General features: G+C 57.2%; 1 protein-coding gene and 2 long non-coding RNA genes across 17 annotated transcripts in view, besides 6 other annotated features; 2 read left to right on the forward strand and 1 right to left on the reverse strand.

Annotated features, from left to right (window-relative positions):
- Nucleotides 1-160: an enhancer, noted in NCBI's record as "active region_14716". NCBI's record gives its function as "activates an Ori minimal core promoter by ATAC-STARR-seq in GM12878 lymphoblastoid cells {active_cell/tissue: GM12878}" and the evidence as "EXISTENCE:reporter gene assay evidence [ECO:0000049][PMID:35858748]".
- Nucleotides 1-698: a biological region, named in NCBI's record as "H3K27ac-H3K4me1 hESC enhancer GRCh37_chr19:42901001-42901684".
- Nucleotides 15-698: an enhancer, noted in NCBI's record as "H3K27ac-H3K4me1 hESC enhancer chr19:42901001-42901684 (GRCh37/hg19 assembly coordinates)". NCBI's record gives its function as "activates a minimal SCP1, AML or CMV promoter by ChIP-STARR-seq in naive H9 embryonic stem cells {active_cell/tissue: H9 hESC(naive)}" and the evidence as "EXISTENCE:reporter gene assay evidence [ECO:0000049][PMID:30033119]".
- LOC101930071 (uncharacterized) lies at nt 294-11,618 on the forward strand. The gene is made up of 2 exons (NR_126041.1): nt 294-390; nt 11,424-11,618. It is a non-coding gene; the product is annotated as an uncharacterized LOC101930071 (long non-coding RNA).
- The window catches only part of LIPE-AS1 (LIPE antisense RNA 1), a 255,208-nt gene continuing 238,958 nt past the window's right edge, over nt 314-16,563 (forward strand). Inside the window, exon 1 of the long non-coding RNA NR_073180.1 lies at nt 314-390. This is a non-coding gene — a long non-coding RNA (LIPE antisense RNA 1). The remainder of the gene's footprint in view (nt 391-16,563) is intronic.
- Nucleotides 699-1,382: an enhancer, noted in NCBI's record as "H3K27ac-H3K4me1 hESC enhancer chr19:42901685-42902368 (GRCh37/hg19 assembly coordinates)". NCBI's record gives its function as "activates a minimal SCP1, AML or CMV promoter by ChIP-STARR-seq in naive H9 embryonic stem cells {active_cell/tissue: H9 hESC(naive)}" and the evidence as "EXISTENCE:reporter gene assay evidence [ECO:0000049][PMID:30033119]".
- Nucleotides 4,680-16,563, reverse strand: part of LIPE (lipase E, hormone sensitive type) — a 25,875-nt gene continuing 13,991 nt past the window's right edge. For 3 of the 15 annotated variants that reach the window (NM_005357.4, NM_001416101.1, XM_006723218.4), the window contains exons 2-10: nt 13,473-14,008; nt 11,398-11,488; nt 11,142-11,287; nt 10,772-10,957; nt 10,340-10,634; nt 9,327-9,554; nt 8,551-8,727; nt 5,773-6,197; nt 4,680-5,241 (exon numbers count right to left, since the gene is read on the reverse strand). In NM_005357.4, the coding sequence (NP_005348.2) occupies nt 4,978-5,241; nt 5,773-6,197; nt 8,551-8,727; nt 9,327-9,554; nt 10,340-10,634; nt 10,772-10,957; nt 11,142-11,287; nt 11,398-11,488; nt 13,473-14,008 (2,348 nt within the window). In that variant the 3' untranslated portion in view covers nt 4,680-4,977. Of the gene's footprint in view, nt 5,242-5,772; nt 6,198-8,550; nt 8,728-9,326; nt 9,555-10,339; nt 10,635-10,771; nt 10,958-11,141; nt 11,288-11,382; nt 11,647-13,472; nt 14,009-14,432; nt 14,649-15,434; nt 15,691-16,251; nt 16,276-16,563 lie in introns of those variants that run through there. The other 12 variants (XM_005258937.4, NM_001416105.1, XM_005258939.4 and 9 more) reach the window with 11 other exon arrangements.
- Nucleotides 4,815-4,924: a silencer, noted in NCBI's record as "silent region_10714". NCBI's record gives its function as "represses an Ori minimal core promoter by ATAC-STARR-seq in GM12878 lymphoblastoid cells {active_cell/tissue: GM12878}" and the evidence as "EXISTENCE:reporter gene assay evidence [ECO:0000049][PMID:35858748]".
- Nucleotides 9,766-10,572: an enhancer, noted in NCBI's record as "H3K4me1 hESC enhancer chr19:42910752-42911558 (GRCh37/hg19 assembly coordinates)". NCBI's record gives its function as "activates a minimal SCP1, AML or CMV promoter by ChIP-STARR-seq in naive and primed H9 embryonic stem cells {active_cell/tissue: H9 hESC(naive and primed)}" and the evidence as "EXISTENCE:reporter gene assay evidence [ECO:0000049][PMID:30033119]".

The following is a 16,563-nucleotide window of genomic DNA, read 5'->3' on the forward strand; positions in this document are numbered from 1 at the left end:
CTAGGTATGTGGGGCCAGAAACTCCATTCACGACCATTCTGCGACCGTCTACGCCCAGGGCTCCCACCCCGACTCAGTCCCTCCGGAGGCGGGTCCGACACGCGAGGCGCTTCTTTGGAGTCTGGCGGCGAAAGCTATCCATGACGTCAGTCACTATCTTCCAGCCAATGGACACTCGGCCTTCTACCTCCCTGGGCCACTCAGGACCCTTTGCCTGGTAGGCGGGGCCCACAGCCCAACTCGGGCAGCGATAGGCTTTCGGAGACGCCAGTCTCTGCCAGGCCCAGTCAGTCGGCCAATAGACCCGGAACCTGAGGGATCGGAATCCTGGTCCACTCCGCAGAGGCCCGAGCGGGCTCGCGAGGGAACGGGTTCTCCGAGTCTGGCCGGGTAAGCCCTTTCCAGCACGCCTAGTATTAGGATTCTGCACATAGCTCGGGTGGAAAACCGTGAGGCTTAGTGAGGCTTGAGGCGGAGGGGGGAGGAGCTCAGTCCCGGCGAACCCATCTTGCTTTCTTGGAGAAACTGAGACCGGGATACTGGATCTGTTATTCATCCATCCGTTCCTCCCACCCTAAGCCTGATTCTCGTCTGCTCCTGCCTTCCTGTTCCTTCATCCGTTCTGCCCTTCCTGCCCTCAATTCTCTCACTCACGGATTCCCTCGTCTAGCCACTCACTCACACACTCTCCCACCTATTAGTTAGACAAACATTTCCTGAGGCTTCTGGTGTGCCAAGCCTCGTGCTGGGCGATGCTGGTGACCAAGATGAGTCAGGCCTGGGCCGTGCCCTCAAGGAGCCCGGGTCAGATGGGAGGATGGACGTTGATGGGCATGGGTGTGCGGAGACGGTGGGAGCCCAGGAGAGACTTTTTTGAGTTTGGCGTGGTCGGGAAAGGGTTTCCAGGGGAGGGGCCATTGGAGCTGGATCTTGGAGGAGCAGAAGGTGCCAGGCAAAGTGGAGATGCCAGGCAAAATGGGTGTGGGGAGGGTGTTTCAGCGTGACCAAAGACAGGGAGGCATGCAGGAGCAGTACTGCGTGCAGGTGCCTAAGCGGAAGGCCAGTCAAGTCTGTATGGCCAGCAGGGGAACTGTAAGGCTGGAGGAGGCCGAAGAGATGAGCAGAGGCCAGGCTGAGGAGCTTGGACTTTGTCCTGAGGGTGAGGGGGTAGTGGAGAGCCATGGAAGGGTTGAGAGTAGTGGAGGACAAGGTCATAGTTGGTCCAGAACTGGAGGAATGAGACTGGAAGCCAGTAGCCCAGGAGGTGGCTCTGGCAGGGATTCAGGTAGGAGAGAGTGGAGCCTGGATCAGGGAAGAGGCCGAGGGGATAAGATAGAGATTCAGGAGGCAAGGCTTGGTGCTGTGGCTCGTGTCTGTAATCCCAGCACTTTGGAAAGTTGAGGCGGGAAGATCACTTGAGCCAAGGAGTTCAAGACCAGCCTGGGCAACATAGTGACAGCCTCATCTCTACAAAAAATTAGCCAGGTGTGGCCAGGCGCGGTGACTCACTCCTGTAGTCCCAGCACTTTGGGAGGCCGAGGCGGGTGGATCACGAGGTCAGGAGTTCAAGACCAGCCTGGCCAAGATGGTGAAACCCTGTCTTTACTAAAAATGCAAAAAATTAGACAGGCTTGGTGGTGGGCACCTGTAATCCCAGCTACTCGGGAGGCTAAGGCAGAAAATTGCTTGAACCCAGGACGGGGAGGTTGCAGTGAGCTGAGATCGCGCCACTGCACCCCAGCCTGGGCCACAGAGTGAGACTCAAAATAAAAAAAAAAAAAAGAAAAATTAGCCAGGTGTGGTGGTGCATGCCTATGGTCCAAGCTACTGAGGAGGCTGAAGCAGGAGGATCACTTGAGCCCGGGAAGTCGAGGCTGCAGTGAGCCAAGATGGTGCCACTGCACTCCAACCTGCACAAGAGTGAGACCTTATCTCAAAAAAAAAAAAAAAAAAAAAGAAAGAAAGAAAAATAAATAAGGAGATTCAGGAGGCAGAGAGAACAGAAAGTGGGGATTGATGGGCTATGGGACAAGGGGTTGTCCAGCATGAGACCCAGAGCTCTAGTCTGGAGGACAGTGGAGCCATCTCTGAGGTGGGGACAGGAAAAGAGGAGCAGGTTGATGGGTAGTGACTGTTTTGACAGAGGTGACCAAGGGGTTCTATGAGTTGGACAAGGAGAGTGGTGACTCAGGCCAGTGGATCTGGACCTTCAGGAAGAGTTCTGGGCTACAGCTCCCTGCCCCAGCACAGGCCCTGACTCAGAAGTCACTTGCTGGGTGAACGAGGACCTCTGAGCTGAGGATCCCTTGCTTCGCACCCCGTGAGGAAACGGCTTTCTTGTTTCTGCATCTTCAGTCTCTCCCACTCCTCCAGCATTCAAACATGTCCATCATCTCTAAACACATGTGCCCTGTATCAGGCTCTCTTGTGGCGCCCACTGGCTCAATCCCTTACCTTCCACTCCCTCTTCAACCCACTATGTCTGGCTGCCTAACGGCCATGACCCTGCAGTGGCTCTGGACAAGGTCACTGAGGTCACCTGCTCATTGCTGACACCTGAGGGTAACATTTCAATCCTCATCTGACCTGGTCCACTCCCTGAAACTCCCTTCACCCTACATCCTCCTTCCTGGGCAGCTTCCTCCCTCTCTGGCTGCTCCTTAGAACCCGCCAGCCTTGCCTTCCACTGCCCACCCCCGCCCACCCCTTTACTAGGGGTGTGATCCTCAGGGCTGTCTCTGTCCTGGCCCTCTTGTTGCTTGTCCCACCTGCCCAGGCTTCCTGGAAAGGTTCTAGTCCCTTGGTTCCACCTAGACTGCATTTTTTTTTTTTTTTGAGGCAGAGTCTCATTCTATTGCCCAGACTGGAGTGCAGTGGTGCAGTCTCGGCCGACTGCAACTTCTGCCTTCCAGGTTCAAGCGATTCTCTTGCCTCAGCCTCTCAGTTAGTTGGGATTACAGGCGTGCACCACCACACCTGGCTAATTTTTGTATTTTTAGTAGAGACAGTGTTTCACCATGTTGGCTGGGCTAGTCTTGAACTCCTGACCTCAGGTGATCCACCCGCCTCAGCCTCCCAAAGTGCTGGGATTACAGGTGTGAGCCACCACACCCAGCCCCAGACTGCACTTCTGACCCTTGTTGTCTCCTGGATTGTCTTCCTGAGACCTTCCAGCTCACCATGTCCAGAATGGCCCTCCACAGGTCCCACCTGTCACACACACACCTGAGCCTCCTCCCATTGAAGAGACAGCTTCACTGTCCACCTGCTTCCATGGCCAGACCTGGGTGTCATCTCTGTCCCCTTGCTGTCCTGTAACCTCATCAGTAGGTGCTGTCCTTCCCACCTTTTATGGCTCTGGGATGCTACACCTACACTCCCTACCCTTACGGCTCCTGCCCCAGCTCAGGCATCCTCCTTGGCCTGTAGGACTCCAGTTTTGCCCTTTTCTGTCCATCCCCCAGTGTCCCAGCAGGATCTTTCAGTGCCCTGAGCTGACCCTGGCCCTTTCCTGCTCAAAGTGCTCCTGTGGCTCCCCACTGCCCTCCAGTTTAGTCCAAATCGTACTCCAGGCTCTTCAGGCCCTGCTCCTGCTGACCACTCCAGGCCCCTCACGCCCCTCCCCACTTTGCACCTGACCTTCTGGTCAGGTGGAAGCTTTTTCTAGCCAGGTGGCAGCTTTGATCACTGCCAGCTGGCTCTCACAACCTGGCATGTTTTTTCTTCCTAGCAGACTTTTGTTCATCCTGTAGTGTCAAGCTCAGATCACCACCTCTGTGAAGCCCTCCCTGACTACCACAGGTGGAACCCCTGGGGACTGTGACAGCCTGTGTCTGTTCTTCCACCCTCTCTGAATCCAGGATCAGAAGCCCTTTGAAGGCATGTCTTGGGTATAAATCATCTCAACTCCAAACTCAGGGCTTACAAGGGGCCAGAGAGTTGGTCCAAGAGTTGATTGTCACAGCTGGACAGAGCTTGCATTTCCAGTTTTTGTTTTTTTGGAAACAGGGTCCCACTCTTGCCCAAGTTGGAGTGCAGTGGTGCGATCATAGCTCACTGCAACCTCGAACTCCTGGGCTTAAGTGATCCTCCTGCCTCACCCTCCTGAGTAGGTAGGACTGCAGGAGTGTGCCACCACGCCCGGCTAATTTTTAAATGTTTTTGTAGAGACTGGTCTATGTTGCCCAGGCTGGTCTCAAACCCCTGGACTCAAGCTATCCTCCTGTCTTGCCTCCCAAAGTGCTGGGATTACAGGCGTGAACCTCCGTGCCCGGCTGCATTTACAGTATTTTGAGCGCCAGTTTGTTTCTGATTTCCTGCTAACTTTGCTCCAGTTCTGTAGGGTGTTTGGGTCACTGGAGCCTTTGAGACCCGAGAGATTATTTTTAACTTTTATATCCCCCTGATGGATGCTGAGCCTGGTCTCCCTGGGACCAGGGTGAGTCCAGCTAACCGAAGGTCTTCAAGGGGAGGAGCTGAGGACCCAGCATCTCCTGGCAGTGTACCTGGATGAAGTCCGAGGGGAGGTGGGTCCGGGTTACCAAGGAGTCCACTCCCTTCTGGTCCCAAAAATCCAGTCCCCCATACCCCTCATTCCAGGTTTCTTGGTTCCCAGCCGCTTGAGTCCGATGCTGCCCCCTGGTGGGCAAACACCCCACCGTATTTGAGAGAGGCCAAACTAATTAAATACTTTTATTTACAACAAACCAAACCGACCTGCAAGGGAGGGCCAGTCCCCGTCCCTGCGGCGGTCGCCGCAGCAGCAGCAGCAAAAGGCAGCGGTGGCGTGCAGGTCCAGCCGTCTCGGTGACCGGTGTGTGTGCGCGTCCCCCTCCCCGTGGCGAGGGTCTCAGCTTTCGGGCCCCCGCCCCGCCCCCTTGCCACCCCCGACTTAAGTAAGGCACAGCCCGCGTCCCCTTCCGCCCGGCCCGGAAGGCATTCATGACGGAGGCCGGCGCAGATGGGAACAACAGGCTTTTAGTGTCGCCCCCCGCAGCCCCCGTCTACCCCCGCAGCCCCCGTCTCCCCGCTCGGCCCGGCTCCGGCGGGAGGAGTGAGGACGAGGCGGATGCGCTCCACGCACAGCTCTGCGGCCTGGCGCGTCTCGCGGCACAGCGCCGCTAGGGTCAGGAAGCCGTGCGGCAGGTCCTCCACCACGCGCAGCGTCACCGGCTGGCCCAGGTTGCGCAGTCGCCGCGCGAGCATGACCGAGTCGTCCAGCATGGGGTCCAGCGCGCACGCCTACGGGACAGCGGGGAGGGACGTGGAGAGAGGGTGGGGGACAGACAGACCGGGGTCGGGTAGAGCGAGGAGGGGTTTGATGAACAAAGGGAGCGGGAAATACGGATACAGACGGAGTGGACGGAGGCAGGAGACATGGTGGGTGAGGAGTTGGGGAGAGAATGGAGGGAATGGGGGGAGTTGTGGGAAGGATGGGAGAATGACTTTAACTGCGATCCCCGGCCTCTCTCCAGCCTCTCCCTCCCCACCCCGCCAAACCCACCTTTTTTTTCTCTTGATTCTCCAAGCCCAAGGGGCTGCCCCACTGATCCTGTCTCTTGGTACTCAAAATTGCAAAGTAAAACGGAGGCAGCCCTGACTCTTGTCCTCCTCCCGTTCGTTCGGGGCATTGTTCTCCCCTGGGGACACGCCTGTCCCTTTCTCCCCACTCCGGAGCTCTTTTTCCCAGGTGTACCCGTGCCCGGTCCCCCTCCTCCCCGGGTGCCCTGCTCTTCTCTAAATGCACCTGTACCGGCCCCCTCTGTCGCTCACCACGATGTGCACAGGTGGCAGGCTCTTGAGCATGCTGTCGGGTGCCAGCAGCGGCGACATGAAGGGGTTCTTGACTATGGGTGAGGAGTAGAGGGGCATCTGTGTGGCACCCTGGCTGGAGCGTCGGGGGTGGAAACCCTCGGGGAAGGCGGCACGGACGCCCAGGCCTCTGTCCATGGGGCTCAGCTCATTTTTGGCCTCAGCCTCTTCCCCTGCATCCTCAGGTGGTAATAAGAAGTTGACATCGGAGGGTGTGGAGGGGCTAAGTGTCTCAGCTGACAGCGACATCTCGGGGGTGTCCGACGACGTCTCGGAGTTTCCCCTCAGGCTCAAGTCCCTCAGGGTCAGGTTCTTGAGGGAATCCGTGCCCAGTGGGCCCTGGGGCTGGGCCAGTGCTGCTTCAGACACACTGCGGCGCATCGGCTCTGAGAGAGGGAGAGCAGATAGGCCTGGCTCCGTTAGTTTGGTTGTGTGTGTGGCTGGCAGGGAATGCCATGGGAAGGGCAGTCGCCTGTGGAGCGCTGTGAAAGGCTGTGTTTCCCCAGACTCTTGCCTAGGGGATGGGTGGAGTTCCAGATGCCCCAGGTGGTCATGGTGGGGGTCTTGGCAGTGGGGCAGTGTGTTCTAGTGAAGGATGTGTGTGTGTGTGTGTGTGTGTGTGTGTGTGTGTGTGTGTGTGTGTGTGTGACTGGGAAGATTAGGTGCAGTTTACCTCTAGGAACCTATTTTTTCTTCTAGATCAAGGAAATGAAAATAGTCCTTGGTTCATAGGTGGCAGGACTCAGTGGGATAAGATGTGGGATTAGGTACCGCTACCCACTGGGGATCATAATATATCGTTTTTTGTTTTTTTTTTTTTGAGACAAAGTCTCGCTCTGTCACCCAGGCTGGAGTGCAGTGGCAAGAACATGGCTCACTGCAACCTCCACCTCCCAGGTTCAAGTGATTCTCGTGCCTCAGCTTCCTGAGTAGCTGGGACTATAGGCATGTGCCACCATGCCCGGCTAATTTTTGTGTTTTTTTTTTAGCAGAGATGGGGTTTCGCCATGTTGGCCAGGCTGTTCTCGAATTCCTGGCCTCAAGTGATCCGCTCGCCTCGGCCTCCCATAGTGCTGGGATTACACTTACCACAAGGTGTAAATGGATCAAAATGATTTGAATAGTAAGCAGGCCCAGTGGCTTGAAGGGAGGCTCTGTTCACAGGGAGCTAACAAGTCTCCAGGGTGTATCACATTTCTAGGGGTCTGGCACCTGTAGCCACATGGATCTGCTTCCCCACATTTCCTTTGTGTTCTTCAGTTTTATCCGTTCACGTGACCAGGCAAGCAAGTGCCCAAACGATGCTAAAGATACACTTCCAGCCCACCTGGCGTGCCCAGCTTGGCCTCAGCTCTGTTCATTTTATCAGACCCACACTGCCTACCATGAGGGCCAAGATGCTACAGTTTTAGTTTTTTACTTTTTTTTTTTTTTTTTGAGATGGAGTCTTGCTCTGTTGCCCAGGCTGGAGTGCAGTGGTGCGATCTCGGCTCACTGTAACCTCTGCCTCCCGGGTTCAAGCAATTCTCCCGCCACAGCCTCCTGAGTAGCTGGGATTACAGGCATGCCACCATGTCCAGCTACTTTTTGTATTTTTTTTTTTTTTGAGACAGTCTCACTCTGTTACCCAGGCTTGAGTGCAGTGGCGTGATCTCGGCTCACTGCAACCTCGTCTCTTGGGTTCAAGTGATTCTCCTGCCTCAGCCTCCTGAGTAGCTGGGATTACAGATGCATGCCACCATGCCCGGCTAATTTTTGTATTTTTAGTAGGGATGGGGTTTCACCATGTTGGTCAGGCTGGTCTCAAACTCCTGACCTCGTGATCTGCCCGCCTCGGCCTCCCAAAGTGCTGGGATTACAGGTATGAGCCATTGCGCCTGGCCCATTTTTGTATTTTTAATAGAGATGGGGTTTCACTATGTTGGCCAAGCTGGTCTTGAACTCCTGACCTCAAGTGATCCGCCTGCCTTGGCTTCCCAAAGTGTTGGGATTATGGGCGTAAGCCACCACACCCAGCCTTACTTGTCTTTATAAATCTACGAAGGTGAGGTGCAAAACAATGTGAGAATAACTACTTAAGTACTTTGTGGCCCAGAGGGTCACTGGAACAGAATGGACACACCAGGGGTGCTGGCATCTTCTAATAGCACCTACTGGGTGCCATATATTGTACTGGCCAAATGGTTGGAGGCAGACCTCACCACAGCCCAGTAAGCGTACTCTTTTTTTAAATTTTTTTTTTTGAGACAAGGTATCGCTGTGTCACCCAGGCTGGAGTACAGAGGCTCAGTCTTGGCTCACTGCAACCTCTGCTACCCAGGTTCAAGCGGTTCTCATGCTTCAGCCTCTCTGGTAGCTGGGACTACAGGTGTACTCCACCATACCCTGCTAATTTATTTTTTTGTAGAGAAGGGGTTTTGCCATATTGGCCAGGCTGGTCTCGAACTCCTGACCTCAAGTGATCTGCCCACCTTGGCCTCCCAAAGTGCTGGGATTACAGGTGTGCACCACCACACCTGGCTAATATTTTTGTACTTTTACTAGAGACAGGGTTTCGTCATGTTGACCAGGCTGATCTTGAACCCCTGACCTCAAGTGATCTGCCCACCTCAGCCTCCCAAAGTGCTGGGATTGCAGGTCTGAACCACCATGCCCAGCATCTTCCCTGGGACTTTTGCTGTGCTAGGCTGTCCCTCCTGCCCACCCTGGCTGGGCATGTGACGGGAGTGAATCACTCACCTGCTATGGGCTCCGACATCTTCTGGGACTTGCGCCCACTTAACTCCAGGAAGGAGTTGAGCCATGAGGAGGCACCCAGGCGGAAGTCTCGGAGGAGCAGGGCTGTGTCCCGCCGCACCAGCCCCATCATGCCGAGGGCTTTCTGGTCTGAGTTGGAGTGGTCCTCCGTCTTTGCACCTGCAGAATATATGTGGGTAGCTGAGTTGTTTTCCCCTTTCTGGGCCCAGTTTTAACGCCCAGAACTTCAGGCATCTGTGGTCCCAGGGACCCGAGAATATCCAATCGCTTCAAAAGGGATAAGGAGGCTGGGCGCAGTGGCTCACGCCTGTAGTCCCAGTACTTTGGGAGGCCAAGGCGAGAGGATGGCTTGAGCCCAGGAGTTCAAGACCAGCCTGGGCAACATAGCGAAAAACACAAAAATTAGCTGGGCGTGGTAGTGGTGGTGCACGCCTGTAGTTCCAGCTACTTGGGAAGCTGAGGCAGGATGATTGCTTCAGCCTGGGAGGTCAAGGCTGCAGTGAGGTGTGTTTGAGCCACTGCACTCAGCCTGAGCGACATGACACCTTGTGTCTGTCTGTCTCTCTCTCTCTCTCACACACACACACACACACACACACACACACACACACACACACGAAAAAAAAGGGACAAGGAGTCTTAGATTCCTCTGCCTGGCCTCTCCTTCCTCAGTCACAGGAGTCCTGGTCCCCAGCCCGTCCCTGCAGGAGTCAGACATCCATGCAGTCCTGTTTCCCTGCTGAGGGTGTGGGCCTCACCAGCATAGGCGCTGACACACTTGGAGAGCACACTGAGGGGCAGCAAGGGGTCCATGAGGCTCAGCAGGCGGGAGGGAGAGGCGGCAGGCTGCAGCATTGTGGCCGGGTAGGCTGCCATGATGCCATCTGGCACCCGCACCCCGTAGGCTGCTGCCCGAAGAGCCACGGTGAAGCAGAGGTTCCCGCCTGCACTGTCCCCCGCAAGGCAGATTCGTTCCCCTGTTGAGCCTGGTTTGGGAGAGGGGTGGTTGGTGACAACCTGGCAGGGGCAGAGGCCTGGGGAGGAGGGCAGGGAGGAACTCAAGCTGGGAGAACTGGGCTCTCCAAGGTGGGGTGTGGGGCACTCCAAGGCCTAGCAGACTGCAGTTTTAGAGACTGGCAGACTGAGGCACAGATTTGGGCTCATGTGGTAGACAGAGGGTCAGGATGACTCAGGACCTGGAGAGGCCCAGGGAAGCACTGGGAAAGTCTGTCGGGGCTGGAGGTTGGGAGCAGGGAGGGCAGGTGGTGGGAAAGGGGAGCTGAGCTCAGGCCTGTTGCAGGAGGGGGGCCTCAGAGGGCGGGAATGGAAGGTCAGGGTTCAGGGTCAGTACAGAGGGGCTGGGCTGCAAGCTCTGTGCCCTGGGGCATGGCCACACTCTGCTCTGTGCCTCAGTGTCCTCCCAAGATGTTGATCTTCGAAGAGGGAGGTCAGAGAAGCTGGACTGTGGGCCAGGAGGCTGGTAGGACAGGAGAGCAGGGCCTGGAGCTATCAGAGGGGGACGACAGAGGCCCAGGGAGACAGGACGGTGGGTGGGAAGTGGAGGTGGAGGAGATGGAGAGTCTGGGTGCCACAGTTGGGGACAGAGGATAAAGTGGCTGAGGTGGAAGATTGGGCAGGACCTGGGTGAGCAGGAGCTGGGAGGTGTGGGGGGAGAGAAAGGTAGAGGGTGTGAGGCTGAGGCTGGAGGAGCTTAAAGCAAGCTGGGTGGGATGGGAGCAGGCGCAGGTGGCTGTGGGGGCCTGAGGCTCACCAAGGAGGGCGCAGTGCTTGATGGCCCAGCAGTAGGCGAAGAAGCACTCCTCCAGCGCACGGGGGAAGGGGGCCTCAGGGGCCAGGGAGTAGTCGATGGAGATGATGGGGGCGCCCAGCTCCTGGGCCCAGCTCTTGAGGTAGGGCTCGTGGGATCTGGAGGTCTGGGCCACAAAGCCACCGCCGTGGAAGTGCACTATCAGGGACCGCGAGCGGGGTGCCTGCTGGGGGCGCGGCCACAGCTCCAGGCTCCGTTGGCCGTTGGACTTTATCAGGCTGCTGAGCTCCTCACTGTCCTGGGGGTGAGGAGGGAGACGGTGTGTGAGGTTGGGGAGAGCTGGCCAGGGCTGCACCCCTCCATGGGGATGCCAAGGTGGGGGCTGCCCACGCTCCTCGGCTCTGTCCCTGTCCCTGGCTGAGGCTGGAACCCTACCTGTCCTTCACGCAGGTCATAGGAGATGAGCCTGACGAGGACGGGCCCAGGGCCTGTGTGGGCCAGTGGGGGTGAGATGGTGACCGTGAGCGTGGGGTCGGCAGTCAGTGGCATCTCAAAGGCTTCGGGTGGCAGGCTGAGCAGGCGGCTTACCCTCACGGTGGCCGATGCCATGTTGGCCAGAGACTGGAGGGAGGGGACAGAAGGGGTGCTAGGGAAGGTCTGCCTGCAGGGGTGCCCTTCACCTCTCCCTCTGATCCCCAGTCTTTCCCCTTGTGTGCCATCCCTGGGCCTGGAGCCCCACAGAGACCTACTGTGGCCTCAGATGAGTCTCTGGGCCTCAGTGTCCCCATCTGCAACAGGCCCTCACCGATAGCACTTCCATCTCGGTGATGTTCCAGAAGGCTTTCCAGAAGTGCACGTCCAGGTTCTGTGTGATCCGCTCAAACTCAGCCCCACGCAGCTCGGGGTCGATGGCAAAGCGGCCGCTGGTGAAGAGAGAGCTGGCGGCCACACCTAGGGGTCAGAAGGGGTGTCAGGGAGCCCCAGTGGGTCAGGCTGCTTGGGCAGGAGTGGGGAGGAGGGCCAAGAGAGTAGGCTGCGAGTAGAACCTGGCTGGGACTCACTGAGGCCTGTCTCGTTGCGTTTGTAGTGCTCCCCGAAGGACACCAGCCCAATGGAGATGGTCTGCAGGAATGGCCGGATGGCAGGCGTGAACTGTGGAGAGACGCGGCTGCGTCACCCACCGCTCAAGAGAGGGATGGGGACAGGGCAGGAGCGAGGCACAGGGATGTGCGGGGAAGACACATTCATTCAGTAAACGTTTCATGAGCTCCTACTGTGTGCTGGGCATAGCTCTCGGCTGGTTCACGGACCTGATGTTCTCAAAGGGAAAACAAATGATCAGCAGATAAGCAAAGCCACGCGCAGTATCATGACAAGGAATGACGAATGGTTTGGAAAAAAAAAAAGGCAGTAGGTGGAGAGGGCACCAGTGATGACTAGGGGTCAGGCTACTTAGCGGGTCTCGGAGGAGAGATCTGACTGAAGCGAGGGGAGGGTGTTCCCTGCACAGGGAACAGAGAGCATGAAGGCTTAAAGGTGAGCTCATAGGAGGCTGAGGCAGGAGAATCGCTTGAACCCAGGAGGCAGAGGTTGCAGTGAGTGGAGATCACACCACTGCACTCCAGCCTGGGCGACAGAGCGAGACTCTGTCTCTAAAAAAAAAAAAAGGTGAGCTCATGCTTGGTGCTTGACCTGGGTAGCGACAGTCAGGGGGCCAGTGTGGCTGGAGCAGAGTGAGCAGTGGGGAGAGGGGCAGGTGGTGACATTGGAGAGGCAAAGGGGGCTCATATAGGGCCTGGGCAGAGGAATTTGGATTTCATTCCCAGTGCGGGGTGGTGCCACTGGTAGGCTGTGAGGTGGGGAGTAGGATGGTGCAGGGACTTCCTGAAAGTCAGAGAGAGGATGGATGGGGAGAGGAGGCAGCTGGAAGACAGGAACAGGGAGATGGCCAGAGACAGCCCCCCAGGCACAGGGACCTGAGGCAGAAAGACAGTCAGAGAGGGAGACTGAGGCCTAGACATAGGACCAGCCAGCCACCACGGGGGCAGGGAGAGACAGCGTCTGACAGAGCAGACAGGCAGTTAAGGAAAGACAGTGGGGTCCAGGTGCAGTGGCTCATGCCTGTAAACCCAGTACTTTGGGAGGCCAAGGTGGGTGGATCACTTGAGGTCAGGAGTTTGAGACCAGCCTGGCCAACATGGTGAAACCCCATCTCTACTAAACAAAATACAAAAAAAAAAAAAAAAAAAAATACAATGGGGACACAGGATTAGAGGAAATGGAGCCATAGGAGGCCAAGGCAAGGGATTGGCGGGTTCTTCTGTTCACTCTGTACTGGCCAAGTTCCTACTGCATGCTAGACACTGGGCTGGAGCAGTGACCAAGACAGGGGAGGCCTCTGCCCTCCCGGGGACGGACATTTTAAAGGGGAGACTGCCCTGCACCAAGGCAGAGCTGGGCCCTGCCCCTGGCTGTGCGCCCAGTAGGCCAGAGGGCACCTGATGCCTGGCTATTGTGGCTGGGATGCTGGTTTGGGCAGCCCCGGGATCTCTTTCTCATGACTCTAGGGTCACGGCTGGGACACAGGGAGGAGCTGGCTGGCCCAGCTGGGCTGATCAATACTTGTGGGTTCAGCCCTGGTGAGGGGAGGTTTCCAGGAATGCCTGGGCTGGGTTGCTGAGGATAGGCTAGCCTGAAGGGAAGCCTGGAGATGTGGGGTGGGAGGGGGAGGCTGAGGTGCGGGGAGGCCCAGAGAGGGCCAGAATGACTATAGGGTCACATGGCTCCAGATCCCTCCCTGAGGGGTCTCAAACTCAAGTGACTTCAGGGGCCAGACAGGTAACAAAGAGTGAATACATCTCTTGCATGTAGGACAATAGAGAGTAGTGGATATCCTGGTGAAAAAAGCTCTGCAAGTTGCATTTCTTACCACCTAGCAGATATGACCTAGGGACCATGAGTTTGAGACCCCTGGTGCAGCTCTGTCTGAGCTCCAGCCAACTTCTCCTTTCTGTACCTGCTGTTTGCTGAGTCCGATAATGCTGACCACTGGTTACTTTACCATACTATAGGCCAGGCCAGGGGCCACCAGGTGCCTTCATTGTGGGCCCAGAGGGGCACGGGGCAGGGGGCTCACCTGGAAGCCCAGGCAGCGGCCATAGAAGCATCCCTTATGCAGCGTGACATACTCCCGGAGGAAGTCGGCGGTGAGCCCCTCGTCGCCCTCAAAGAAGAGTACCCCCGGCCGATTGGTAACCAGCAGGCGCTGGGCGTAGTAGACCAGAGCGCGGAGCTGGGTGAGGGCAGCCAGGTAGGCCTCCAGCTCGGCCAGGTTGTGGCTGGTGCGGAAGAAGATGCTGCGGCGGTTGGAGGCCACATAGCGGGATTTGTGCAGGAGGTGCGCCAGGCAGCAGCGGGCTGTGTGCACTAGGCTGCGGTACCCGTTGGCCGGTGTCTCTGGGTCCAGGTCAAAGAGGTGCGCCACACCCAGCAGGCGGCCCAGGGCCGGCTCCAGCCCCAGCGCCTGCTCCCGTACACCGGCAAAAACGCCTGACAGCCGCTGGGCCGTTTCCCCAGGACCCTGGCTCGAGAAGAAGGCTATGTTGTCCTCCGCCAGAGTCACCAGCGACTGTGTCATTGTGCGCAGGTCCATGTTGTGGATGAGCCTTGAGGCTGTGGGCAGGTGGGGAGGCCTGTTAGGTGGGGCTGGATCAAGCCTTGCTTAGCTGGGGCCCAGGAGTCTGGGCCATAGCTTACCCACTCCTCCTTCAAACCTCAGTGCTGTCTTCTTTCAGTTCCAGGGGCCCAGGACCCCAGGTTCCTCCTCCCTTAGACATAAGAGGTCACCCTCTTGTCTCTGGGAATCAGAAGTTTGGGGCCCCAGTTCCCAGTGCCTTTGTCCCTCCTCGGGAGCCAGGAGTTTGGGCCCTCAGCTCCCTCCTCCCTCAGACCCAGGAGTCCAAGCCCCAAGCCCTTCCTCTTCAGGACCCAGGAGCCCCTGCTATCACCTCTTTGGGACTCAGAAACTTGCTGCCCTGGCCTCCTGAATCCGGACATTCCCTGAGCCCACACGACTCTGCTTCCCTAACTCATTCACCTCTCCTGTGATCCAGGAGGCTGCCGGTCCTTCTTTCTTCCTTCCAGGAACCCAAGAGTCTAGTCACCTGTCTCCATGAATTCTCCTGGGGCCCAAGACTCCTTCTCCTAGATTCCAAGAAGTCTAAACCTCCAGTTGGTCCCCATTCTCAGGACCCAGGAGTCCGGGTCCCCCATCCCATCTTTCCTTCTTAGGCCCCAAGTGCTACCCATAGGCCCTTCCCCTCCAACAACATTTGGGAGAGTTCAGCCCCAGCCCTCCCATTCCCATCTCTCGGGACCCTGGTCCCCAAGCGCAGCTCTCCCTGAACTCAGGAGTTCACAATTCTAGACTTCACTGAAGAGTCATTCCTCATCCTTCAAGTCTGGCTGTGGAACCCCCTCCAAATCCCAGTTCCCTCCCTGTTTCTCTGTGAGATCCCCAAAACTCAGTCTTGCTTCTCCCCCAGTGGGGTCCCCTGGCCTTCAGGCTTGTCCACTGGTCCTGGGTTGCATGGCCGGCCCTGCTCCCCTGCCTGGAACAGCGATACTCATCACTGGTGTCGACCTTGAGCATATCCGTGCAGGTCCCGTGCTGAGAGCTTTCTGTGTGTTTGCTGCTTTAGCGTGCTAACCCTCTGGGACCCACACCACCTAGGTTCAAATCTCTATTATTGCCAGCATCCCCATTTTACAGGAGAGGAAACTGAGGCTCAGGTTTTAAGTGAGGAGGTTAAAGTTGCACTGCAAGTGGCAGAGCTTTTGTAAACCCAGCTCTCTGGGTCCACAGCCACACTTATGTGGGGCTCCCCGCTAGGACTCTGGAAGCCACATCTCAAAACTTGCCCTGGACTACGTCTGATCTCCACACTTTCCAGTCCCCAGTGATCTTTCCTCTGATATCCTTTCCCAGCCATTCAGGCTGCCCTGTTTCTTGGATGCCCTGTCACCCAGGTCCTGAACAAGCTGCCCTTGGTGGAATGCTACCATCTGCTCCAGTGACTTCCCTCCCAAAGCCCAGCACCTTGCCTGTTCCCCTAGAAGAAGGTATTTCCTTTCCCTTCTAGGTCCTGGGGCCTGGCAGCGGCCATTCCCGTCTCTCAGCTGGCTGGACACTCACCCCTCCTAGGCATCTTCCGAGCTTCCCTGGGCTGGGACTGCTGGTCTGTGGCTTGTGCCAGTAGCAGCCTGGGGCAATAAACCCGGGGGCGGGGCTGGCCTGCCCAGGGTGTAGCCGCACAAGCCACCTCCCACCCAGAAAGATCAGTGAGGACCACGTGCTGTAAACAGAGTAGAGGGCTCAGCTCCCTGCTCTGCCCCCCACCTGCTCCCAGACTCAGCTCAACTGGTAGTCCTGTTACAGGCTCCTCTGCCTTAGAACCCAGGAGTCCACACCCACAGCCCCTCCTCCCTCAGACCCAGGAGTCCAGGCCCCCAGCCCCTTCATCCTTTAGGACCCAGGAGTCCTAGCCCCAGTCCTGAACAAACCGTCCCCTCTCACCCAGCCAGGCTGCCCTCTCTGTCCCCAGAGAGGACTCAGGGAGCCAAAGGCCCAGTGATCTCAGCTCCCGCCTCCTAGTCTGGCCCTGGCACAGCCAGCCCCAGCTGTTGGGGGGAGAGAGGAGGTAGCCAGCCCTGCCTGTCCCTCCTGGAAGGACAAAAGCCGATTAAGGGCAGTGCCAGGCTCAGCTAGGGGCCTGAGCTGCCTGTCGGTCCTACTGGGTGGTGTGACCACACTGGGTAACCTGGACCTGCCACTTACCCCTCTCAGCCCACCCTGCTGTGACTGGCATCCCCACCTCACACAGGGAAACAGAGGCTCAGAGAGAGAGATTCCTCACCCATGTCATTCACCCGTGTCATTCCACAGATTCCTTGTCTGGCCTCAGCTTGTCACTTCCAAGAGGTACTCCCCAGTTGCTTCTCCCCAGCTAAGATATGCACGCCCCCGTTATTTTCTGCCATGATATTTAGTTCTGTTCCATCCTGCCATTTGACACTTTATAATTTGTTTACGTGTTTGTTCATCTCCCCCAGGACAGGACTAGGTTTTATGGAGCCATGAAACTTATAAGGTACCGGGGTGTGGCCCTTTAGGAAGAAGAAATACAGAATTACAAATACAAGATTAGGGCCTTGGGCCAGGCGTGGTG

The sequence above is a fragment of the Homo sapiens genome, chromosome 19 (genome assembly GCF_000001405.40).
Source record: "Homo sapiens chromosome 19, GRCh38.p14 Primary Assembly".
In the NCBI taxonomy this organism is placed as follows: Eukaryota; Metazoa; Chordata; class Mammalia; order Primates; family Hominidae; genus Homo; species Homo sapiens.